This window comes from Homo sapiens, chromosome 20 (genome assembly GCF_000001405.40).
Source record: "Homo sapiens chromosome 20, GRCh38.p14 Primary Assembly".
NCBI lineage: Eukaryota > Metazoa > Chordata > Mammalia > Primates > Hominidae > Homo > Homo sapiens.
In genome coordinates this window covers 14,895,055-14,922,406 of record NC_000020.11, presented here as the reverse complement: position 1 = coordinate 14,922,406, position 27,352 = coordinate 14,895,055, and the positions used below count along the sequence as shown (strand labels likewise).

Below are 27,352 nucleotides of genomic sequence, written 5' to 3'. Positions count from 1 at the left end.
TCCTACTTAGAAATGCTTGTCTAAATTAGGGGTGGTTAAGAAGCCATGTAACCGTTGCATTCTAATCACCTTATGAATACCTAGGTAGCTAAAAACAGATACATACAAAAAAAAGCAGGAAAAAACTATACATCTAAAGACAGAAGATCTTGGGGAAAAGTTGAAAAGCAAATAGACCTAGACTATGTATAAAGCACCTTTCTTTGACAAAACACAAAAACAGTTAAAATGCAGGTATCTTCAATATTATAAACTGAGAAACCAGAAATAGAAAAGATTAGGAAAGATGGGAGATTTGTTTAATGTCACCGGGTCATCATAGAAATTGCTAGAATTTAGAACCCAGTTCTTCCCAACTCCAAGTTGAGCATTTCCAACAAGGCTATCCTGCAATCAGAAAATAATTAGAAGAACTACTCCTTTAGATGCTAAAAGAGACTTGGTTAGAGAATCTGATGCAATTTGGTCTTCTTAAATGATACATTTGCAATATCAGACACCTTTACAAACTCTGCACACAATGATTGTACATTCACAGGAAATCCAATTTGTAGTGCACATTACATGCTAATATGGAAATGTTTGAGTAAATAATTTCTTCATTGGACTATTTTATGAGTCACTCTGCTAGACCTATTGGCATTCTGTCAGCTCCATTCTGGTTACAATATACCAAACAATTATCCCTGACACTAAATATATCTTAGCCTTTAATGGCAAAGCCCCAGCCTGCAAAATATTCTGGATATGCTATTTATGCTGCCATTTGCAAATAGCATATATCCTAACAGCTGGGCCAGCTGGGCAGACATCACAGCATCTGGAGCAGAAATTAGCCTTTAGGTATGCAATGACTAACAAAGACGCCAAGGCAAAGAAGGATAAGTGTTAACAGTTTCATGCTTTTATATACATGACAATTATGCTTAGCAAAATGGCTCAAATGTATCCAAAACTCTCTATTCTTGAGAATTTTCAAAACCAATCTTAAATTTTTCTGGATCAATAAGAATTAGTTTAAATTGTGCTTGTCTCAGGCAAAGACGGCTATAAATCAATCTCCTCCTAAATGTACATGAGCAGTTTAAATTACATCACATGCCATGGCCAACAAGTGTTGGATGCCAAATCTAAATAGAGTAGATGTAATTTTCACTAGATTGGAATATGTAATACAGAAATGGATTTTTAAAATGTCATGGGAAATAACTGCATTGCCCATAATGTCGATATGCTCCCCAAACACCCAATACACAGATCCAATAGACTGGTAATACACATCACAGCACAGAGTTGATTCACCAGTGTTTTTTAATTCTATACATTATGTAAAAATGGTTGTGGTTTAAAGGGATGACTGGCTATATTCTTCAAAAATTGGATTCCATATTTCATGTTTATTGTCACCAAAGTTGTGGAACATATCTAGGTTTTTTTGCCCTTAATTCCTTAAACATTTTGAAGAGTTAAGGATTGTTTGAAGTTAAATTATTATTTTTAAACCTAAAGACCAAGTGACTTTCCTAATGTGAATGTGTGGAGGAACCTCAATTAAATATTCTACCATAAATGAACAAAGTGATTTCCCCACTTTCCAGTTACACATAACCCTTCTATTTTTATTAATCTCATTCATTACACTGCAGCTTTATTCCAGAGAAAATTCAAGGATTAGAAGAAATGGTAGCAATATTAAATAAACTTAATATCACCTTTATTGCACATAGCTATGATAACATGCTTAAGGTCTATACTAGAAGGTAACTCTTCACCTGTACACTTTATATAAATCATGAATACCTCAGATATATCTATAAATACCTTGAAAAAGTTCTGTCTTCAATAATTTATTCTAAAAAGAAGAAAAAATTAAATGAGAGCGCAAAGAAATCACACTTCAAACCTGAGAACATTTTTAACGAAATTAAAATAAACAATACATAATAGATTTCCAACGTATCTGGTTAAAGGGTATTCAGAAAGGAACACCCTCTGGCCTATTTACATTTAGGAAACATTAGATAAGATCAGATTTACCAGGGAACATCTCTGTTTTAGATTTGGAATGCCTCTGTAACAATTTTACCCAACTATTACCTTGTTGAGCCCTGGTTATTCACACAAGGAAAGTTAAAGACAGGGCATGTATTTTCAAGCCTGGGGCAAAAGAAAGTTGAGCACATCACAAAGAAGGAAAACTATCTGGTTTTCTAAGAGAGCTGCCAACTCCTTCTCTATCCCAGTACCAGTAGTTACTGAGAGGAACCAGGCGCGGGTTAACTCAAAAGGGAATTAATTCATATACTTTATCTCAGCAAGGGGAAGAGGTTTCTGCAGGGCTGCCGGCTGTTTGAGATGCAGAGAAATCACGATGCAATGTCAGCCTGCAGCGATCCCAGGTGTGCTCACCTGCTGGGGGCAGGGTGGGAGGAGCTAGATTCAGCAGGCTCTGGAAGTCTGGAAGCTGACTAGAATGATTGCTCATAGGAGTTGCTTTGATTTCCTCTAGGAAAGGGAGGTAAAGGAGGGGCTAATGGGGCCACGGCAGGTGGAGCCTTGAAATGGTTTCTATTTATTTCTCCTGACTCTTGTTATTTTGCTTCATCATTCATTGACGTTTCTTCCTCCCTATCTGGTTTAATTTAGGGCCGGTGTTTGTTTGTTTTTGTTGTTCAACTTGATTTCCTGGAAGACTGACAAAGAGTCTAAAGAATGTGAGTGCCTGCTTTGAATTAAGCCCACTGAGTCAAATTACTGATTGCAAAGGCAGCAGTTAGGAACAAGCAGATTTTGATTCAAGTTAGAAAGAGGCACTCATGGTTCCAAAGCAGTACAAGGAACAAAGAGAACACGGCCCTGTTCCTGGTTGCTTGCAAGAAGGCAGGAATAAATTGCTTGCTTGTTTAACTGCTTTTCAAAGTAGCAGATAGATTGTTTTTGGTAGTTAAATGTGGTTATGAAAGGTTGAACAATTAGAGTCATTTTCATAATCAGCAATTGCTGTTGCTGAAATTAGAGAGAAAAGTAAGTGATAAATAAAGGGAAAACATGTCTGGCAGGAAGCATTATTCAATCATAAGCTATCCCAAATGGTTAAAAATGTAGCTTATATTACACTCCTGTGAATTTACAACAACATGGAGGAGAGAACTAGGCCACTCAATTTCACAGTTCCAGGAGAAAACGAAGCTCTTTCTGGAACTTTTACTTTCCCAGCAATGTGTTTGTGATGCATTCCAGATGGACAAGCCTTGAAAAGTGACGGTATCCATCTATTTGTGAGAATGAACACAGAGAGAGTGAGAGTTTTCACATCCTTGTCTTCCTCAAATATAAACACCGCAAAACACAAATGAATCCTCTTAATCCAATTTGGGAGGACTCCTTAGGACAAAAGGCTTTATCAGTTATCATCAAAGCATTCAGTTTAATTCTTCTTCCCTTGAGTCTCAGGGGGTTGGGGGAGAGAGTAGTTGATGAAATAAAAGTAAAATAGAGCTAAAGACAGTTCTTTAAATGAAGACATACATACAGCTGATTGTTTAATGTATGGGTAACACAAGACTGAAACACATCAGTGATATGTTGTGAGTTCAATTAAAATATAAAAAGATTTTGACAAATTGGAAACATGATCTAAATCTAATAGTATGACCTTCAGTGAAAATAAATGTTAGGACTTGAATTTGGTTTCAGAAATGCGTAAGTGTGGGATAGAGGAGACATTGTTTAGCAGGAGCTGGTAATGAAATCTCATTTGCTAATAAACTCCAGAAAAAAAAAAAAAAACAAAAAAAACACAGTGTCACAAAAAGGGCTAATGTGATATGATTGCAGATGACTTTAGAGGAATACATTTACTAAATAAAGCAGTAACAATTCTACCCTGTGCCAGCTGACCTACATGCAAACCATGGCATATGCCTACTCTCCTATCCAATGTGAGAGGAATCCTTCTAGCCAAGGCCAATCCCTCCTCCGGTTGCCTGGATGGTACCTTACCTTCTTTCTAAGCAACCTCTCTCTAGCAGCTACTTCCTATCTCTTCTGGATCATTAACTTCTGCCTCTTCTCTGGTCCCTTCTTATCAGCATTTGATCACACTCAAGTCTTTCTCATCATGAAAAACCTTTTCTAGTCCAGTTGCTCATGCCTGTAATCCCAGCACTTTGGGAGGCCGAGGCAGGTGGATTGCTTGAACCCAGGAGTTTGAGACCAGCCTGGGCAACATAGCAAAAACCCATCCCTACAAAAATAATACAAAAATTAACTGGGGATGGTGGTGTGTGCCTGTAGTTCCACCTACTCGTGAGGCTGAGATGGGAGGATCACCTGAACCTGGGGTGGTCGAGGCTAAAGTGAGCCAAGATTGCACCATTGCACTCCAGCCTGGGCAACAGAGCGAGAGCCTGTCTCAAAAACAAAAACAAAACAAAATCCTTCCGTATACCGCATTACCCTTGTGACCACAAACCTCTCCTTTTTGCTGCTGAATTCCTACACAGTTACTCTCTTCCCTCCTTTACCTGTCTGTCATCTTCATCCTAGTGAAATTTGACTTTCGCCCCCACTGCTTCCCTGGAATGGCTCTTCATTAAATCACCAACTAAAGGACAACAACCAGCCCTTATCTTTTTTAGTCACTGAGTAGCTTTAGATGCAATTGACCAGTCTTTCTTGAATTTTTTTCTTCTTTTGGGTTTCGTGGATGTCTGTCCTGGTTCTCCTCCATGATGAGCTTCCTATTCTCAATGTTATTGCTGTTTGTTGTCCTGTATTTGTTGTAGTCGGTGTGTTTTGGAGGTTTGTCTTCCTCTGCCCATTCTATGTGTTGGTCTTCCATAGGCTTCCCGGTGAGCTTCCACAACACAGTTCTCTCATAGACAGGTGGAGGGAGTTCCCTGGATGGAAATCAAAGGCCAAGTGCCTGCACTATCATGGAGTCCTCCCTGCATTGCTTCATAGGGGATGCCCACCAAGAAGGCAATAAGGAGGAACCATAGAACTTCTTCCTATGGGACCCACAATGGAACAATCAGCTGCCTTCACACAGCAGTGGTTTCAAAGAGTTAACAATATTGAAGACTTTTAAGAAAATTCCCCATAAGGAAACATTTTGAGCTTAAATACATGGAAGAATAGAGACCCGATGTCACACAAAAGCTAACCTCAGGCCTCCGCTGGGAGGGGTTCTGGAGAGAATCTAGGATGCACAATGGAGGGTGGAGTAAAATGCTGCCACGGAAATGCAAAACCATCTGAGCAGGGATGGAAGCAATAAGCCCCCTGGGTCACCCAGGAAAGGACAGGAGACTTGGCAGGACACTCCACCCCGAGGAAGAAAAGGGGCAGGCATTACTTCCCTTCCTTAATAGGAATGGCACCATTTGTTATTTGGCATGTAGTATGTGCCACAGAGAGTTAAGTTTGCATGACCAATCAAGGTGCCTATTTTTCCCCCATTATCTCTCTTCCTTGGAAATAAAATTTCTAAATTTTTGCTGGGCTGACAGTGGTCCATGAAAAAGATATATTTTTTTCCATTCTCCGCTGAGGTTCAGTATGGCCATGTGCCTACATCTGGAATTTAACTAGAGGCAGGGAATACGGGAATTATACTTACATGGAAAAGATTTGCCCTTCTAAATCGCTTCCTCCTGATTAAGATGCTTTCAAATGCACAGAAAAGTTGAGAGAATTATATAACAAACATGCATACACCCACATCTCTCCTTACAATTGCTAACACTTTGCTGCCTTTGTTTTATGACATATTTATCATCTATGCACTCACATATCTATTTTATTTTTTATCCATTTCAACATTGCAGATATAAATCACTTTGCTCCTGAAGTTATCTTGTTTTATATGTTTCCAACAAGCACATGAGGCAGATATGATCATTTCTATTTCACAAACAAGTAAGCAGAGGGCCAGATGTCTAAGTAACTAGCTGAGGTCCCACTGATAGTAACTGGCAGAGCCTGGATTTTTCGCCCAAGTTTTTGTTTTTAACCTATGAATTTCCCATCCCTTCAACCCCACCCCTACCCTCACCGTACCCTGTAGAATTTCTGAGGCTTTAGGGGTATAAAGCCCTTTAATTTTGTCAGGACTTGTATTCTAGAGGGAGTGTAAAAGGAAAGTTCTAATGGCTCAGTTCAGCTCCCCAAATGGGAAGGAGGGCAGAACTCTGACGGAGTTGGGAATTAACAGCTCTGCGTTTCATGATGCTGCCTTTGGTGCTTTTCTGCATTCTCTGCTGGGAGAGTAAAGTGGGCACCATAGGATGAGGAGCCTCAGCAGAGAAAAGAAATGGTATTTTGCATTTTCACTGCAAACATTTCTCTGTGAGAATAAACAATGCCATTAAATGGGGCACCCATTTCCCTGTGAGTAATTTAAAATAAGTCCGAAATTGAGAATGGACAGCTCTTTTTTTCCCTTTCTGAAAATAAATGCTTAGAAATGAGACCTGTTTACCATAGGTCTGCAGACTTACACACTTTGCCAAACCTCCATCAGATGCACACAATTTCTGAAGCTGCTCCTTCATCAAGAATGATGACTCGCAGCTACCTTAATGTCACAGCTTGGAAGCTCCCAAAGCAATTGGTTTAGTAATTTATTTTGTCAACCGTGCTGTGGACATGAAACTTTTAAAAGTAAAGCTGAAGTTCCAATCTAAAGATCTGAAAAGAACATTTTCAATCTGTTGCTGCAGACTGCTTGCTGTCAGTGCAGGTGCCAGTAGTTACCCTTGGCACTGGGCGGCCTCACACAGTCGGGCACAGCCGCTCCTCGGACGCCGAGGCAAGCAAAGCACAGAGATTACCACATTTTCATCTGACTGAAACCAGAGTTCCATTTAACAAGCTGACAGGAGCAACAGGACCACGAAATAACAAGCAGATACACAGTGTGGTATTTGTCAAAGATAAAGGGCTGAGCTTGAGCTTAATGCTTCTCGAAGGTTTTGGAAGACATTCAAATCATCTTCCCCAAACAGTTTCTGTTCCTTGAACTTCTTCCCACATTTCTCTTACTTGGGGTTTCCATTTTGACACATTAAGCTTTATTTGGTGGCGATCTTTTGAAGACACCAGAATGCCATTAAAGTCTATGCTGATTTCATTAACATCTTAGGTTTCCACATGCATACTTTACTCACGCTCGTAAGAGCCATGGCTAAATTCAATTCCATTTTATTGTTACACCTTTCTAGAGCTAAATTTACAAATCACACACAAACATGCACATGCATGTGTTTGCAATAAGACTTCTTGCAACAACACATAGCCTCATTTCTTTATGGTTATAAAGTAAGAATTAGAAAGAGATCTTAAAAACACAATATTTTTAATCCAACCATGTGTGCCTTATTGTCCAGATTACATAAAGTAGGATTCTTTTTTAAAAAAATCAGTCGAATCTATTGTCATTTTAGGTTTGATCCTCTGGGAGTGCAACATCCTTACATTTCTCTGTCGCATGTATATGTTAAATTGGAAAAGGAAACCATTATCTTCCCTGTTTTCTTCAGAATGTACAAAAGCAGCCAAAACAACATGAAATATGGCATGCATTAGAAGAATTAATTTTTGGATGAGTCTGGCAGCATGAAGGAGTTTGACAGCATATGCTAGCAAAAGCTAAAGAGAAGCTATATTTTTAAAACTCAGATATATAGATTTAGAGATAGTAGATATACTTTTATTTTTATAGATAAATTCTTATAAAAATAAAATTCCTATAGCTGTCAAACATGCAGTCAGTCTGAAACTCTTCAAATATTAAAATGCATGGATGGATCCCTAACTGCTCTTTTATGGTTTCTTAGGAGAATCACATTGTAAGAGAATGTTTTGTCAAGGCAAAGTCTTCCTTCTTGGGACAATGCTTTATTTCCCTTAGCCCCAAAGCTCTCATATAGATCTTGATCCAACTTGCTTACAAGCAAAGTCAGTTTCTTTGGCCACTATGATCTAGAGTTCTATTCCAAGTTTGGGATTTTGCAAACATTGTTGTACGTAAGCTTAAATATGCATTACCACCACACACTAAATATCCTGAGGGAAATTCTCATTGACATAGACTGTGAGCAGCTCACCTCCCTCCCGCTTAACAGAACAATCTTGAATGAAATGTCCCCTCACAATGCTGTCCTCCACTCTGTGTCAGGAATCAAACACTCCAACTCAGATCAGTTATTACAGCAAATTCCTCACATGTTTCCTCTGAGTTAGGGAACCAAAAAATACAATAGTTCTCCATATTTCAGCTACAAAGAGTAAGCGCTTCAGAGCTGAAACGGAAATAACCAGAAGAGCTGGACTTGGGGAATTTCCTTTCAGAAACAGTTCTTATATAAGGAAGGCTGCAAATTGCTTAGAGTATGCGGTATCTGCAGCCAAACAAAGAGAAATTATTCCAGCACCACTTAGCTGCCTTGCGCTATGGCCCAAGGAGGCCCAGGACCAAGCTGTATTCAAATCTTGGTTGTTGGTTAATTCTTCCCCCAAGATGGTTCATTAAACAAACTCTACAGTGTCCTATCAGGGTGAATATGATAAGATTACATTATTAATACTCAAAATAAATATGAAGAAACATACTACAAATCACAGTCTGACATAGGGTCGGGGTAGGGCAGCTGGGAAGGCACACTGAGGGATAGTCTTATATGGAATTTGGAATTTTTTTAATTAAAAAATGTTTTGATACAGGGTCTCACTCTGTCATCCAGGCAAGAATGCAGTGATGTGATCATAGCACACTACAGCCTCAAACTCCTGGGGTCAAATGATCCTCTTGCCTCAGCCTCATGAGTTGCTGGGACTACAGGCATGTGTCACCACACCTGGCTAATTTTTTAATTTTTTGTTGAGACGGAGTCTTGCTATGTTGCCCAGGCTGGTCTTGAACTCCTGGCCTCAATAAGTCCTCCTGCCTTGGCTTTCCAATGTGTTGGGATTACAGGTGTGAACCATGGCACCCAGCTTTTTTCATAGGTTAAGAAAAAATTAAAATAATACATAAATAAGGATATCGGAAAACTTTGAGATATAAAGTACAATCCATAAATGATGTTTGTTTTAACATTATCATATCCATAGTAACTAAAAGCCTATTTCTCAGTTCAAACACTGAGACAAACACATGGCAGGTAAATAATAGAAACAAAATTATAAAATTTCTACTTAATTTTCTATCTTAGTCTCCTGTCTGAAACATGGATCTTTCTATCATGTACATATAAGTATATTTAAGTGCATGCACACAAGGATGCATACACTAACACACTCACACAGCCATACACACATACACGCATGTGCACACACACACAGCTATCACAACCCTCATTTTCATCTTTATTCCTAACTGAACAGGGCTATAGAAGAGAGACAGAATTTGTGTACTCATCCTGGCAAGTACTTCTGGATACTTTATGTGTATGAGCCAACTGCAAGCCCAAAGCCATCTAAAACTCTGGAGTATATCTGGGGCAAGCATCTTAAACTTGGGGCATAGATGAGCCCCCACAGTGAGATCCTGACAGGTCTCTTTCATACACAGCTGAGTGCAGAGAAGAGTAGACCCAAGTTTGTAAGCTTGTAAGAAACTTCTCAACTCAACTCAGTCTTTCCTTGTCTCATTGTGTGATTTTTTTTCCCTTCTCTCAGTTCCAGCTCTTGAAGACGACATAATCCTTCATGCCTTAGTCTTCACATATGTTGAACCCTCTGACCAGATATCTGTTCCTTATTTCTCTGCCTGTTCAACAGTCGCAATTCACCTCCAATGATTACTGTCTGAAGTCATTCTTCAGAATTCAACTCTTCTTTATTGGTCTCTTACTGTGGCACGTGTTAGGAGAAATACTAGAAAATTCCCTTGAAGACTAGCTGGCATGCCCCAACAGGAAACTTGACAAAGTTTCCTTAGTAATGACTTCTGAAGGCCATTTTGCTCTAAATATATACTTTAAATAAATTATCCCTTTGTCTTGTCAGAATCATTTGTATGGTCAGAATCATTTGAATATTTAGATATAATGAATTTAATGATCCATAAGAGCATTTGTTATATGATATAATAATCACTAAGTATTAAGTTTGCTGTATTTGAAGTATTTGAATTTTATTATAGGCTTGAGTGATGTTAGCCTCACAGGTGACAATGAGTCAAAGCTAGAGATAACGGCAGAAAGCTGCTACTCTCCCTCCTTCTTAAGACAGACAGACAAGTGCAGGAAGAGTAATCATCAGATCCCTAGAGTTGAGGATGGGTACGCAGTAGAGATGGGACCAAGTGACCCCCTAATTTATCTTCCTGTAGCACGCTGTAGGTTAGTGAAATCACCTAAGACTCTCAGTGACAAATTGGGCTAATCACTATCTCCCGTTTCATGCTAAGTGAAGAATTAGACAGGGTGTTGGTCAAGATTATGGGCTCTAGAGTCAGAATGCCTAGATCTGAATCCCAGTGCTGTCATTTGCTTGCAATGTAATTTCAGAAAAATTAGACTTCGTCATGCCTCAGTTTCCCCATCTGTAAAATGGGTTAATAGTACCACATACAAAACATTGTTTGTTGTGAGGTTTAATTCATATAGTACACTTAGAATAGCATCTGGCATATAGTAAGGTATTACTAGATGTTCAAGGTTTCCAGTACCTTTTGAGCTGATCTCTATCAGCAAGAAGAAGGGGGAATTCAGAGATCAGAACCCTGGCCAGGTCTGGTGGCTCACATCTGCAATCCCAGCATTTTGGGAAGCTGAGGTAGAAGGATCACTTGCAGCCAAGAGACCAGCCTGGGCATCATAGTGAGACCTTGTCTTTAAAAAAAAAGTTTAAAAGTTACCTCAACATAGTGGCATGCACTCTAGTTCCAGCTACATGGGAGGCTGAGGCAGGAGGATCACCTGAGCTCAAGAGGCCGAGGCTGCAGTGAGCCAAGATCATGCCACCGCACTCTAGCCTGGGCAACAGAGCAAGACCCTATCTCTAGAAGGGGGAAAAAAAGTGATCAGAGCCCTTGCTCTAGCCATTGATAGCTATACAAAAGAAAAAAAAATCAACTAGCAAAGGAGATAGCTTTTTGTGAGTAGATAATGTTAAGATGTTAACATCTGGGGCTAGTTTTTAACCTTTAAAACCACACCAAGGAACTGGTTAAACTATGTATTCCTAGAAGTTGCCAATACGGACTCTCATTCAATAGGTCTGGGGGAGGGTTTGGGACCAGACACCTTCAAGTGACTTGTTGCAGATGATCTGAAGACCTCAATGTGTGAAGCATACTCATAGTGATTAGAACTGAGAATCAAATGGCCCTCTTCAATGAGTTTTGATGCTTTTTTGTTCCTAAATAAATGAGATAGAGTTGAAGAGAAGCAAAAGTATCAAAGCATATCACACATAGTATTTTTTCATGAAACTTTAATTTTCAATAACATACGTATGTGTGTACTGGGTTGGATTGAAAATGAAATTCTTATTATGGGTTGTAGACAAAAAGTTGAGAAGACTTCGCTCTAGGGAATTAACAGCATCAATATCAAGTGACATACCATCACAAGGCATTCTAAACTCTGAAGTTACCTAACAAGCTTAGGATAAAAAAGGATAAGCAGGAAAGCAGAAAGGAAAGGCTAGCGGGATATCAACTGGTATAAAGAACTGAGTCTCCAAGATGCAAAGAAAGAGCAGTCAATGGGTTGTAACCAAACTCTGACCCATAATGAGAGTGACATACATGTGAAATGCTTAATGAATGGATCAGGGACCACAGAGCTCTGACAAATGGTGGAGGAAGCCTAAGTTTAAAAGAGGCTTTACATTCTAACCAGCAGCCCCTTCTCGGGCTCTCAACAAATTTCCTTTCTGCTGGAATTCTTCATGCTTCCTCAAAACTTGATGGTGACTTCTTTTTTTCTTTATTTGTTTTGAAAAGCTGGGAGAAAATTGTTTCAGTATGTTCTTTAAATTAGTTTCCTTGCAGTGTTTTCCTTGCACACATTAATTACAGCTCCCTTGAGGGGCTGCAGTACTATATAACACACTGTAATTCTGCTCCCCAATCTTCTTTCCCCACTTCAAGTCTCCAATTCTCCCTACAGTCTGGGCTCTATATTAATGTGTAAGCGCGAAGTGCATAGCCAACATTCTTTTAACTCTGATATAAGAATAGAGAGGAAAATATGATCAGGTCTTGAGCACACCAAACTTAAAATGAACAGTTTGTGGCCTATAAAATGAAGTAGACTAAATGAATTCTGAAGTCTCCCCTTCCAGTTCAAACATTCTCAAAAGAGAGTTTCATTTAATATCTCAAGTACAGAAAAGAGATCAGTGAGACTTTGATGAGGCTAAGTGAGTATCATTAGCAAGATATGGCTAGAATTCCAAAGGTTCTCAAGAAAACAACGCATGCCCAAGAATCTACATTGGAGCTGTCACTGTACTAGGCTGTAGGATAAGGCAGTTAGTTCAAGAAATTGTAATTACTTAATTCCCAAAGAGAGTGAACGTTCTAAAGTGACCACAATATAATCATTTCACCCCATACCTACAGATCATAGAGGAAGGAAAAAAAAATAGCTAAACATAAAATGTACTTCTATAACAGATTTTCAAATTCCTGTTTTGTTTTGTTTTTTTCAGATAGGTAGAAGCAGTGGCAGGTCTGAGAATCAAAATGGGTCATTCATTGACTAGTTAGAACTGGAAGGTTTATTACAAAACTTAAAGAGGTAGGTCAGAGTTTCCAGCCCCAACTCCTTATTCAACAGCTTCTTTGCACAGCAGCTATACAGGTGGCTTATATAGGTTATCTCGTTCCCTCTGCTTGGCTCTTGAGTAGGTGTGTATACTTTATTTTACAGATGGAGAAATTTAGGTTCAGAAAGGTAAGTAACAAGTGTTAACCAGTGTCAGCATCAGGTTTTTAATCCAGGTAATAATTTACCCGACCTCAGGTAGTTTGCAATAAACGATAGGCCTATTAGCTTGATGAATGTCAACTTTGTGACCTAATAACATCCATCAGATGGTTTCTTAAAATTTACCGTCTTCTCCATTCTTTCACTTAACCAGATTCGAAGCCCTGGGAAGGCTCTCACTCTTAGAAAGTAATCTTCTGCCAGTGGCTTGATCATTCACAAACCTGGTACCAACACAGAGCAGTAGTTAACAAGAGAGTTAAGGCTTAAATTCCTGATTTAGGGAACAAGCTCCACCAATCTTCCAGTCTGATGCCTCTAACTCTTCTTAATTTACGCTCTTTCACCACTAAGATCTCATCCCCTCACACTATTAAATCTCCCATCTCTATATGGTGAAACAGAATATTTTTAAAATCATTTTTGACATCTCTTTTGACCTGCTAATCCATACCTGCAGTGGTCTAACCCATAGACACTTCAAACCCATCATGCCTTCTGAATGCTTCATCCTTCCTCATGAAGCTGCACTTATATCTGAAATCACTACTTCAGTAATAACACCATTTACACATTTAACTCTTGTAGTACTGTCTCCTCAATAAGCAGATAGACAACACAAAGCAGGAGCCAAATTAAAAACAAGTATTTGCTGCCACCTTATCGTAGACCTTCATTTCTTGGCTGAAATATTGCAATAAATTCCTATTTTCCCTAACATGAGTCCCATGCCTTCTAATAGATTCTCCACATTCCTCCAGGGGTTCACTCTGAAGATACACTTTTTTTTTTTTCTGGCAGACAGAGTCTGCTCTGTCACCCAGGCTAGAGTGCAGTGGCATGGTCTCAGCTCACTGCAACCTCCGCCTCCCAGGTTCAAGTGATTCAGCAATTCTCATGCCTCAGCCTCCCGAGTAGCTGGGACTACAGGTGTTTGACAACAAGTCCGGCTAATTTTTGTATTTTTAATAGAGACAGGGAATTGTCACGTTGGCCAGGCTGGTCTCAAACTCCTGGCCTCAGGTGATCTGCCCACCTCGGCCTCCCAAAGTGCTGGGATTATAAGCATGAGCCACCATGCGTGGCCGACAATACACTTTTTATTTATTTATTTTTTTTGAGATAGAGTCTTGCTCGGTCACCCAGGCTGGAGTGCAGTGGCACGATCTCAGCTCACTGCAACCGCTGCCTCCTGGGATCAAGTGATTCTCCTGCCTCAACCTCCTGAGTAGCTGGGATTGGAGGCACCCACCACGCCCAGCTAATTTTTGTATTGTTAGTAGAGAAAAGATTTCACCGTGTTGGCCAGACTGGTCTCGAATTCCTGACATCGGGTGATCCGCCTGTCTCGGCCTCCCAAAGTGCTGGGATTACAGGCGTGAGCCACCGTGCCTGGCTGACAATACACTTTTGAATATGTGGTTTCCCTGCTCAATAATTGTCAATGACTCATAGTGACTTTTTGCAGTGGTTTGAAACTTGGGTTCCAAGTTCATGGATGTGTTTGTATGCAAAAGTAATTATGTGTGCATCTTTCTCTTGGGAGAAGGTCTTGAGCTTTCTTTCAACAAATGCCTAAAAGGGGAAGTGTCCCCAAAATAATGAATACAAGGCAAAACCAAAAACAGATGAACAATAAACAAATGGGAATCAATAGTCAATATCTAAACTCTTTCGTTGGACATGAAAAGCCCTTTATCATCTAGTCCCCGCCAATTCTCCCATTTCTTCTCTCACTACCCATCACTTCACACCCATTTACAAGCCATACTTAATTCTGCACAATATCCTAACTTCCTTCTTTGTCTTTGCGCTTTCTATTCCTTATGCCTGGGCCATACTTTCTCCATTTTTGACCCAGCAAATTCTAATTTACTTTTCAAAGCCTCTTTTGTGAATTTTGTGAATTGCCTTCTCATTGATTCCCCCCGGGACATCACAGACAGACTGATCACTCCCTCCTGGACCACATACTGAGCTCTATTCTATCACTTACTGACACAGTGCAGGCAAGCCCCCAAATTGGGGCTTAGTTCAGGAGCGTTCTTGGCTTCATCCAGGAAAGAATTCAAGGGCAAGCTGGTGATGTTAGACTGCAACTTTTATTGAAGCAGCAATGTACAGCAGCAGCAGAGGCACTGCTCCTTGCAGAGCAGGGCCATCCCATAGTCAGTGTGCTCTGAGTAGCAGCCCAGAGGCAGTCCTGCACTCATTCATACCTACTTTCAATTGTATGCAAATTAAGGGGCAGATTATGCAGAAATTTCTAGGAAAAGGGTGGTAACTTCTGGGTTGTCAGGTTATTGCCATGCAAAAGAGTGGTAACTTCCAGGTGTTGCCATAGCAATGGTAAGCTGACATGGCACACTGGTAGGTGTGTCTTATGGAAAACTCTTCCACTCTGGTCCTGTTTTAGCTAGTCCGCAATTTGGTCCAGTGTCCAAGTTCCACCTCCAGAGCTGAGTCTCACCTCCTACTTCACTACTGCATTCCATACAATTCTGTATTTACATGTTAGCCTTCTTCTGTGGACTTTTCAATGGTAAAGTCTGGATGTTAATCTATTTCTTTACCTCAGCACCCCAAAAATGTTTGTTAAATTAATTAACAAATACTGTAGCCATGACAAGACAAGAGAGGCTGAAAGCTTTAAAGAATACTTCAAAGAAGCAGTTTTAAGTCCTGAGAAGACTTACGAAAGAAATAACATGTTATACTTGGAGACAAAAAGATCCTGTTCTTTTATTGAACCTAATTTGTGACGTTAGTTTCAGAATCGCATTACTGAATGATATTTTGGTATATTCGATATTTATTTACTCTGAAAAAAAATTTAATTGTCTTAGTATACTGGCTGATATCTGTGCTAAATCCTATTCACAAAAAGAGAAGCAAGCTATTAGGAAGTGCTACGTAAAAACCAGGTCATTGCTAGTGCTGATTTTTTTTTCTTTTCTTTTCTTTTGGTGACTGAGTCTCACTCTGTTGCCCAGGCTGGAGTGCAGTGGCACGATCTCAGCTCATTGCAACCTCTGCCTCCCGGGTTCAAGCGATTCTCCTGCCTCAGCCTCCCCAGTAGCTGGGATTACAGGCATGCGCCACTACGCCCAGCTAATTTTTGTATTTTTAGTAGAGACGGGGTTTTGCCATATTGGCCAGGCTGGTCTTGAACCCCTGACCTCAAGTGACACACCCTCCTTGGCCTCCCAAAGTGCTAGGATTATAGGCATGAGCTAACACGCACAGCTTGATTTTTGAAAAAAGTACATATATAACTATCTTTATAATTCTAACAAGTAAAAGAAGAAAATTTCCCTCTTATTATACTTTATAGTGAAGAATAACGTTTTACTCTTATAAAGGCATCACTTTTCCCCAGTAATTCTTTCTTATTTGTTCCTCTTTGATATTTCTGCTTGCATTCTTCCAGAACAGTGGAAGTACCAAGTCAAAGAACAAAAAACAAAAACAAAACCACAATAAAAAACCTAGGAGAGAAGCAATAATATGGAGAAAGTGCAAGAATGAATTAGCTGCCCATGCCCAGCTAATTGAGGTGAAGGCTGGAAGAGGTCCAGGAAAGAATCTCACCATAGCTGATGGAGTGGTTCAGGAGCTGGAGATCTGGGCTTGGAAGACACCTCTCTATGAATGAATGAGATACAGCTCATGTTCCTATTGCAGAGGATGAAAAGCAGGCCCACAGAGAAGAAAAATGTAGAGTCTAAAGGATATGACAACAGTACTGGGTAGAGCCTAGGTAAATAGCATTGGAGAGGTTACACCAATGAGAATCGGGATGTTCCAGCAGACGGAGAATGACAGTGACTCTGGAGGATGTAGTGGTCTCCCAGACTGTGAGGGCAGGAAGGGATCTTAGTTCCATCCATTTGCTGTGTAGGGGAGGAAAATGAATGGAGAAAAAGGCCAAGTAAAATGTTCAAGGGCATAGATGTCATTCTGCTGCTCAGAACTTGCCTTCCTCACTCTTATTTCTCACCTTGCCTTTCCTTCTCCTTGTTTACAGAATGAAGTCCAACTCTTTAGTATGACATCAATGGCTTGACTTTGCAGTTTGACTTCATAGTAATCCCTTTGCTTATTTTTCAGTTTGCCTAAAAATATTCTGTGCTTTTCCCTGATTCCCAGCTCATGCTATTCTTTCTGAATTGAATGTCTCTCTTTCCTCTATCCATTTCTTGAAATTCTGGATTTAAGAGCCAGTTTAAGACTCAGAATTCTAAATGTCCAAAACATTTTCTTCAAATCTCTCCCTTCCAAGAAATATTTTTCCTTATTTCCAAGCCATATATCACTCTGTGGTATTTCTCTTGTGTAAATGTCACCTTGTATCATGACTGCTAGAGTTCTCATAATCAGGTGGCAAACTCTTTAACAACAATAAAGCTGCTTTAGTAATTTTTGTGCCCACCATCACTCAGAGCTTGTACATATTAAGGGCCGAGCAGTATTTACTGCTAGGAACAAAGGAACGAATAAATGAAGCTATTAAATCTCAGCAGCCAGCTATTTCCTATCTATTTTCATGTCTATCTGCACCATCGGTTTGTGTGTTACAGGGGCCCTGGAGGCCACGTCAAGCTTCCTACTATACATATAATATGCATAATATATGCCATTGAGCATTTACTATGTGCCAGATTCTGTAAGAAGTGTGTTACATACATAATCTCATTTTATTACTTATAATAATCCAGTTTGATAAACAGCTATTGTTATTCATATTGTATACATGAAATAACTGAGGCTTAATGAGGTTGAGTAATTTGCTTAAGGGTTATGCGGTATTAAATAGCATTACTAAAATCTGAAAACAGATGATTCCAAAGTCCATGATATAGCAAACAAATTATGAGTTTATCTCCACTGTTGTAGTTCAACTCCTGCACAGAAATTTTTTTAGTTATATACATTGGTACACAGACATGTATACACACTAATGTACATATATGCATAATGCATATATGTACCCACCTATATATTTTTAAGTTATATTTGAAACATAATATTCTAATTAGGCACAGTGATTTGTCAAAGACATGTCACATCTTTAGTTCTATCATAAAAGATATTTTATATGGATAAAATCAGTGAATACTGCCAATTATCAGATATACACTGATTTTTCTATTTTTATGTGAATGAGTCACATAAACCCCAGAGATTAGAATACAAGTAAAATTTAGAATAAATCTATGCCTTAGGAAAATTTGACTATCCAACAGCATTCCACTGTTGCTAGTTCTACAAATTCATACTAACTATATCCAAGAACCAACTTTGTAACCCATTCAGGAGCCTACTAAGATCCCAGTATGTTTAAAGTCTTTGGTAGATGTAGACATGGTATCACAGTCCCTCCCATGAGTCCAGTGATTATGTGTACCAGGCAGAAACTTCTTAGTGTTCACTAAAATCTCTATTTCCCTTCTTTCTGGGCACTCAGTTGGACTATACTTTCTAGTCTGCCCTGCAGTTTACTGTAGCCCTGTGGTTACATTCTCAGCGAGAGAATGTGAAGAAAAATAAAAAAACCTTTCATGCACGCTTCTTCATTCTTTAACCCCTTCAGTGAGATGAACATCAGTGCCCAGAATAATAACAGAAGTCATACACTGATAGTGGGAAAGCCTCCATCAGCCTGTATTCCTAAATGACCACATGCAGCAGATCTGCCCACTCTTACTGGCCGGGAACAGTTACCTACGCTAGTCTGTTAAGAAGCCTTTACTGTATTAAGCTGCTGAAATGTGGGGATTATTTGTCACAGCATCTAACAGTATCCTAATGAATACTGCAACCTGTCAAAATTCTAAGTGCTCCCAGGTTCAGCAATTTTTACTCCTGATATATCTAAATAATTTTTAAATAAAAATTTAAAACTAACAAAATTATAGTGCTGATAAACTATAAATACATTAAATTATGTATTCAAATTAATTTCAGGCATAATTGTGTTATCATCAGTCTACTCTCATTAGGAATTAATAAGAATTCTGCAGCCAAGGTTAACTGTCATGTTAGGTTGTTTTTGGTCTTTGATATGATCATCTGTTGTCTGTTCCTGTCTTCTTCAAATAAGTCATGTAAGAAACCTGGGCCGGGTGCAGTGGCTCACGCCTATAATCCCAGCACTTTGGGAGGCCGAGGCGGATGGATCATCTGTGATCAGAAGTTTGAGACCAGCTTGGCCAATATGGTGAAACCCCGTCTCTACTAAGAATACAAATTTAGCTGGGCATGGTGGCAGGCACCTGTAATCCCAGCTACTCGGGAGGCTGAGGCAGGCGAATCGCTTGAATCCGGGAGACACAGGTTGCAGTGAGCCGAGATCACACCATTGCACTCCAGCCTGGGCAACAAGAGCGAAACTATGTCTCAAAAAAAAAAAAAAAAAAAGGGAAAGAAAAAAAAGAAACCTTTAGATGTCCTCTCCCTGACGTACTTCTTTTACTACATGGGTTTTGCTGACAGAAGAGCAAAAAAGTGACCTATAATCTTTCCTTGTATTACTGCTTCTCTGTGACTTCCTACATGGTACCCTCTCCATTTACCTCTCATAACTCTTTCTCTTCTTCTGCCTTTGAACTTACATTTATGTATTGTGATCTGTTTCCCTCATGTGGAGTTCATGGCATTCCTTGAGTCCTTCCCAGCTCTTGCTCTCAAGGCTGAACTTTGCTTTTAGATAGGCTTTTTAGACTACATGTTCCCTAGAGTCACTACTATGGCCTCAACAGCTGCAAGGTCCCTATTTTTTTCAGTCTTTCTCAGCACGTCCTGACCACCCTGCCTCTCTTCTTTTCTTGGACATTGGCTCTTTGGCAACCCTGACCACAAATTGGCTCTCACTTCCCCCTAGACTGACTTACAGAACTAATTTGACTTTGAGCTCTCTGAAAAAGGTCACTTTTTCACTCGTGTGGTATGGGGAGGGTAAATGCTAGTTTTCTGAAAGAATGCCTCAGGAAGATTATTTTAAAAGAGCACAGAACTCAATTTCTCTGATGCCAATCCTTGTTTTACTTTGAAATGTTCTCTCTTTTGCATCAGCAAGGCAAGGAACAATGTGGCTGACCTATTCTCTGCCTGCGGCCTGCCAACTTTTGCTTTCAGGTACTACTTAGAATAAATGAAGAGGAAAAAGGGGGCTCCTCTCTGCTTTAAATGTAACCCTTCACCGCGAATTTTGAAAAGTAAAACAACTAATTCAGCTATGGCTGCTTCAGGAAAATTTGATTTAAAAAAAATTGTATTCCTACAAGGATTAAATTAGAGGTTAATGTTTTGCATTTACAAAAGCATTTTTAAATTTAATGGCCCTTCAATATTTCCAATAAATTAGAAGATTTAGCACATGTAAATGTTAGTTATTCCATTTATTGCAGTTGGCTTTAAAATCATCTTTTCAGAAATATAGCTATTATTGACTGCTTAGAGTAAGTTCCACTGTATAAATTTTATACCAATTTTGTGTGAAAGCTTTGACATAGACTTCAAGATTACATTTCCTAGTAAGAATATCTAAGAAGGCCTTTTCCACCTTTGGCCACAGTCAAATAAAGCAAAAAGCAATCCAAGCTGATAGGCATACAATCCTATAGCCCTAAAGAACCTTAGATTTTCAAGATACTCATTCCTCTGTCTGGCAAATGAGGCTAGAGAAACTATTCCAGGCAATTAGATGCAAATTCTGGTTTTGTTTTTGGTGTATTTATTTTAAGTCTTCCAAAATAATTATGATGCCGATTTTGGCAGTGTTTTAAATAGTTATTTTTAAAATGCAAAGGTAATTTTAAATATACAGCATATTGTAACCTGAACATTATTGTGACACAAACACAGCCATTTAGATCATTTCCAATACTTGGAAAAAAATTCATGAAATTACAAATAGTAGACCATAATTTAACCGAATATATCCTAAAGTTCGTTTCAAGAGTTTCACACTGAATTTTTGTTGTTGTATTAACTGTAATGACTTAGAATACTGTCTGCTTTACAATATTATTTTTTAAGTTTCTTGTTAATTCTGTTTTCTTGAAAACAGCTAGGATGTTTAGTGGAAAGACAATGTCATTAAGTTCCCTTTTACCAATTTATTGGAAAATGAAAACAACTGTTTTGAATTAAAGGATTATAGGCACTCTATAGCTTTTAATTTGTAAAGATTTTTTTAAAACTTCAAACAATTTGTCTAATGCTAAGTACTATAATAAGTATTTTTAAAGCTGCAATAGTGTTTACTGCATCTACTATAAGTAAAAGTTAAAATATTTTATTATAGAATAATACTATCTTCCATCAGATGTCTTGAAATGAAACTCAAAATATGAAAAATGCATTTGGCATTTAAAGTTTCTGTCTTTAAAGATGCCCTTTGGTTATGTTCATATATGCAGTAAAATGTTTTCTTGCAGTATATCTACTCATTTAAATAAATAGTTGCTATTACATTGACTTTACATTAGTATTTCACAATAATTAATGCTTTGCTGAAGGGAAATAGAATTGGTTTCAATTTTCTAGTATTTCAGAGCACATCCACAAAGAAAATCTGAAAGAAACCAGAAAAAGAGCAACATAAATGCAAAGCAAGCAAAATAAGAGAAATAATAAAAACTTAAGCAGAAACAAATGAAATAGAGAATAGAATAACAAAAGAGAAAACCAATGAAACCAAACATGGGTTATTTGAAAGGACCAACAAAATTGACAAACCTTTAGCTGACTGGCAAAGAAAAAAAAAGGGCTCAATTACTAAAATCATAATTAAAGAGGGGACATTACTACTGACCTCGCAGAAACAAAAAAGATTTTACAAGAATACTATAACTAATTGTAGACCAATAAATTAGATAAGCAAGAAGAAATTTAAAAAAAATCTCAGAAAGACGCAAACTACTGAACTCACTCAAGAAGAAACAGAAAGTCTAAATAAAACTGTAACAAGCAAAGAGATTGACTTGTAATAAAAATATTTCCTGCAAAGAAAAGCCCAGACCTAAATGGTTTCTACTGGTGAATTCTACTATTAAATACTTTGAAGAATTGCAACTAATCCTCACATTCTTCTAATAAAGAGTACGAAGAAACACTTCCGAGCTCATTCTATGAAGCCAGTATTATTCGGATACTAAAACTAGACAAAAATTTCAGAAGAAAAGAAAATTACAGGCTAATATCCCCTATGAATATAGGTGAAAAGATCTTCCACCAATTTCCTAGTAAACCAAACCCAGCAGCTTTTAAAAAGAATTATAATCATGACCAAGTGGGAGCTATTCCAGAAATTCAAAGTTGGTTCAACATATGAAAAGTAATCATGTAATATATATTATTAAAAGAATCAAAGATATAAACCATATGCTCATCTCAATAGATGCAGAAAAAGTATTTGACAAAATACAGCAGCCTTTCATAATGAAAATATTCAACCAGGAATATTTTTAGGAATAGAAGAGAACCTCTTCAAACTGATAAAAGTTATTTAGTAATTCCTTAAGTTTCCTCAAAGAAATCATGTCAATTTGAGCCCTGAAATTTAGTTATGTGTATAATACTCATTTGACAACCAACACTGCCCAGTTAGATATTCCTTACTCTTAAAGTTTGGTTTGTTGTTGTTATTGTTTTTGTTTCTTCCAGAAATGAGTCAATATTTCAAATTCTTCACATTAAAGAGGTTGCCTTTTAAGAAGCTGCTATGGGTTGAATCGTGTTCCCCCTAAAAAAGATATGTTGAAACTCCAACACCGGTACTTCAGAATGTGACCTTGTTTGGAGATATGATCTTTACAGAAGTAATCAAGTTAACAGAGGTCATTAGGGCAAACCCTAGTCCAATATGACTGATGCCATTCTAAAAAAGGCAGATTTTGGACACAGAGGCACATACAAAGAGACCCCCATGTGAGGATGAAAGCAGTGATCAGAGTGATGCTTCTACAAACCAAGCAATGCCAAAGTTGCCAGAAACCCACCAAAAGGTAGGGGATAGCTATGGAACAAATTCTTCCTTACGGCCCACAGAAAAAAGCAAACCCAGCACCTTGATCTCAGGCCTCTACCCTTCAGAACTGTGAGACGCTATATTTCTGATGTTTAATCCACTCAGTGTGTGGTGCTTTGTTATGGCAACCCGGGCAAACTAATGCAGAAGTCTTCGGTAAATATTTATTCACTAAAAAAGCATAGCAAAATAAGCAGAGGAAAGTGACACTGATTTTAAAATATGAGTTGAGACGTAAGGCAAATGCCTGCTTTCTCCTAAACTTGAAAATATCAGAAGTGTGTACAAGAAAAGGAGGCAGATGTGCAGTTCAGGAACAACAACTCTGCCTTTGTCACAGCAGAAAACACCATGGGCTGAAAAGTAACAACTATAACTAAGTGTTGGAGTTAGTCATGTTGACAATGGCATTATTTGCTACATATGTTTTTGGCTATCAAAAACAAAGAGAAAAATACTAGAAAAAAAGGCATGATTTAATGAAGAATTTTTAGTGTCATACAGCTTTATTAGTTCCCATCTGGTCGTTGCCTTTGGTTGTCCAACAATGATACTACTTCCTATTTGTTGGGAGGGAGGGCCTCACCTCTCATTCAGAAGCCAATGGATTAGGCAGTTAGAGAACTGGTACATCACCTAAACTCAGCCAGCTAAAGGTTTCTGCTTAGAACGTTGAATCTCTGGAGAATGGTACAAAGATGTGAGGACAGTTGAGACATTATCTGTGGCAGTAGGATAATTCCAGCACAGGCAAGAGTGCCCAGTGGAGTTGGGACCAGTACCAAATGCCCTACCCAGACTATAGCCCAGCTAATTTTTGTATTTTTTTGAAATTTTTTAATTTTCATAATTTTGTAATTTTTGTAGAGACGGGGTTTCACCATGTTGGCCAGGCTGGTCTCGAACTCCTGGCCTCGTGATCTGCCCGCCTCGGCCTCCCAAAGTGCTGGGATTATACGCGTGAGCCACGGCACCTGGCCTATTTCCAAATGTTATTAGTTGAATTGACCTAACTCATTTTTTCCAATTTCTTGTGTTAAAGAGAAACATATATGGTAACCAGTGAGCTCTAAGCTTAAATTTATTTGGAATTTCACTAATATTTAAAATATCCTAAAACTTTCTTCCTTTGTCATCCAAGGTTATTATCCTAAATTTTCTGACTCTTATCTAGAAATTTGTTTAATTATAAAAATCTCAACTAGAAAGGAACCTAACCTGAGGTAATAAGTTAATCACTACCCACATTTAATGGATGATAATATTTTTATCTTTTCTCTTTTCAAAAAGAGTTATCTTTTAAAAATATTAATTAATAAAACATTGAAGATTTTTATAAAGTGTTGGCTAATTGTTTTACTGCCTTGTTATCTGCTATGAGTTGAATGTTTGTTTCCCCTCAAAATTCATATGTTGAAATCCTACCTCCCAAGATGATGCTATTAAGAGGTATGGTCTCTGGGAGATGATTGGTTCATGAGGGCAGACTTCTCATGAAAGGGATTAGTGCCTTTAAAAAGAAGCTTAAGAGAGGTGTTGGCCACTTTGGGCATGTGAGGGTACAATGAGAAGACGGCCATCTATGAAGAAGAGCACCCTCACTGACACTAAATATGTCAGCACCTTGTTCTTGGACTTCCCAGCCTCCAGAATGGTGGGAAATAAATTTGTTTTTTATATGCCACCTAGTCTATGGTATTCTGTTACAGCAGCTTGAAACTTTATGGAACCTGATTCATGCTTGGTTCTTCTGCCTTTCTGCCCCATCAGTGAATAACTTTCTAAAACATTCTTCCATTTAAATGAGCCAAAGTCAATTTCTGTTGTTTGAAAAAAAGCAGCCTGAAATGAAGCACTAACTAAAATGAACTATATAAATTCCATGTGCTGAAACTAAGATGTAGTTCTATTATACAACTATTTTAAAAATCATTTTTAGTCCTTACACATCTAAATTTTATTTGGGCATCATTAAAATATTTATTTTTTATCTATTTATGTTTCTTTATTTCACCAAATTCTGCATGTAAAATTGACCAGAAAAGTATATTATTATAAGAACTAATTGACAGGAAATTTTTTTTAAATAAGTGATGAAGTTCATCTCAGAATTTGATAAGACTGTAATTATCCCCCTAAAATTCAGTTACATTAGACACCCACCTTCAAAGAGAATGCCATAAAACCTGAGTCTGTGACTGAAACCTGTCTGCAGTCAGTCCATAGAAAGTATCTGCCTCACACAGACCTGCTTATCTTGTCAAACAAAGAAAAATCTTATAATCATTTTTCGTACCCCAGGCCTTCCAATTCTCAAAGTAATATTCCAAACAAATCAAGAAAAGTGCAGGAACTCCAGGCTCTGTGGTTAGTCTACTGTAACATCGTTCACATGCAGACCTCACCATGTCCATTTTGGGCCATAAAATCTCCTTTGGCCATCTATAATATAAACTCAAGCTAAATGCCTATTAGTTGCTAACTTTTATTTTTATTTTTTTAAGATAATAAGGAACTAGCTACACATTTATAATTACCTGGTTACTGTAGACAAATTAATGCAACAGTTTTTTGAAGGTGATTAAAAACATTGTTTATACTGGACTAGAGTATGGTAGGATTCATCATGTGGACTGGCATTTTGCCTGCAGCCATATGCCATCTGTCATTTTCTTTAATGAAGTTTGTATCAATTCACAGGAAGCACCAAATGCCATATAACTGGTAGAATTGCTTTATTCAGGCAGATCAATGCTTGATGTCATTTTTTTTTTTTTATGGAAACTCATCTACCTGAATCCATATAAGGAGAACCTTCTTAGGCTCTGTTTCCTCAGGTGAGGAGGGTATCAGAATAAGTAGTTCAGAAGCAAAGCACTGAAGAGAAAAGGTCTGAGTTCATGACCTGCTGCAAACAAATAGACAAGGGGAGAAATCTACTACCCTTTCAGAACTGTAACTACGCTGTTAAACACAGCACATTCAGAATTTTGAGAAAAAGGAATTCTAACATTTTTTTTAAAAGCAAGGATAATGACTAAGACAAAGAATTCAACACAAATACCTCCTTTAAGATATTAATAGCAAATATGTTATTTCCAATTTTTTTTAATTTTATTTATTTATTTTTTTGAGATAGAGTTGCGCTCTGTCGCCCAGGCTGAAGTGCAGTGGTGCAATCTCTGCTCACTGCAACCTCTGCCTCCAAAGTTCAAGCAATTGTCCTGCCTCAGCCTCCTGAGTAGCTGGTATTACAGGCGCCCACCACCACGCCCAGCTAATTTTTGTATTTTTAGTAGAAATGGGGTTTCACCATGTTGGCCAGGCTGGTCTCGAACTCCTGGCCTCGTGATCTGCCCGCCTCGGCCTCCCAAAGTGCTGGGATTATAGGCGTGAGCCACAGCACCCGGCCTATTTCCAAATGTTACTTGTTGAATTGACCTAACGCATTTCCAATTTCTTGTGTTAAAGAGAAACATATATGGTAACCAGTGAGCTCTCAGCTTAAATTTATTTGGAATTTCACTAATATTTAAAATATCCTAAAACTTTCTTCCTTTGTCATCCAAGGTTATTATCCTAAATTTTCTGACTCTTATCTAAAAATTTAATTATAAAAATCTCAACTAGAAAGGAACCTAACCTGAGATAATAAGTTAATCACTACCCACATTTAATGGATGATAATATTTTTATCTTTTCTCTTTTCAAAAAGAGTTATCTTTTAGAAATATTAATTAATAAAACATTGAAGATTCTTATAAAGAGGCTACCTCCCCACCTTTTCCCCATTTCCTCTTCCTCAGATGTAAACACCATCTGGAAATCAGTGTGCCTTAGTCCAATACATGTTAACATATTTTTATTTAGCATTATGATACCCTTTGTTCCTGATCCGCAAAAGCCATCTACCCCTACATTTTCCTTTCCACCACCATTGTTATATGGATATTTACTTTTACTGAATGTCATTTCCATGAAAATTTTGGGAGGTGGAGAGTAAGCCCTCCGCTTCTCCCCATCCCTATACTTGCCCCCCAACCATCTTTTCCAGAAATACTCCTGCTCTACTAGAATTCTTAACCCTTAATCTGGAACTACATAGAAGAGCAATAACTCAGGCCATAGAGCTCAGTAAACCTAACTGCAGGAATGCAGATTAAGGAAAAGTCTAAACGACAACAGGAAGGCACTTTGCTTGCTCTCTTCTATAAGCACTTCCCAACACACATTCCTTTAAGCTTTTCCCTTCCTAGCTTTTTTATTTCCATAGATCTCACACAGAATATTCTCAGAACTGGCTCTAATTCCTACTGTTTTCCTGAGATGGTTACTCTTCAACACTAACTTGATATCCCCTTTAAATCACCAT

General features: G+C 38.3%; 1 protein-coding gene and 1 long non-coding RNA gene across 6 annotated transcripts in view, besides 2 other annotated features; one reads left to right on the top strand and one right to left on the bottom strand.

The window, feature by feature from the left end:
* The window catches only part of MACROD2 (mono-ADP ribosylhydrolase 2), a 2,057,682-nt gene that overhangs the window by 1,130,791 nt on the left and 899,539 nt on the right, over positions 1-27,352 (bottom strand). The window lies entirely within an intron of this gene.
* Positions 1-27,352, top strand: part of MACROD2-AS1 (MACROD2 antisense RNA 1) — a 45,266-nt gene that overhangs the window by 7,112 nt on the left and 10,802 nt on the right. Inside the window, exon 2 of one of the 3 annotated variants that reach the window (NR_072988.2) lies at positions 16,378-17,466. The exons of the other annotated variants lie outside the window; for them this stretch is intronic. This is a non-coding gene — a long non-coding RNA (MACROD2 antisense RNA 1). Of the gene's footprint in view, positions 1-16,377; positions 17,467-27,352 lie in introns of those variants that run through there. 3 annotated transcript variants of the gene reach the window in all.
* Positions 2,117-2,966: an enhancer, noted in NCBI's record as "OCT4-NANOG hESC enhancer chr20:14900087-14900936 (GRCh37/hg19 assembly coordinates)". NCBI's record gives its function as "activates a minimal SCP1, AML or CMV promoter by ChIP-STARR-seq in primed H9 embryonic stem cells {active_cell/tissue: H9 hESC(primed)}" and the evidence as "EXISTENCE:reporter gene assay evidence [ECO:0000049][PMID:30033119]".
* Positions 19,633-19,702: an enhancer, noted in NCBI's record as "active region_17554". NCBI's record gives its function as "activates an Ori minimal core promoter by ATAC-STARR-seq in GM12878 lymphoblastoid cells {active_cell/tissue: GM12878}" and the evidence as "EXISTENCE:reporter gene assay evidence [ECO:0000049][PMID:35858748]".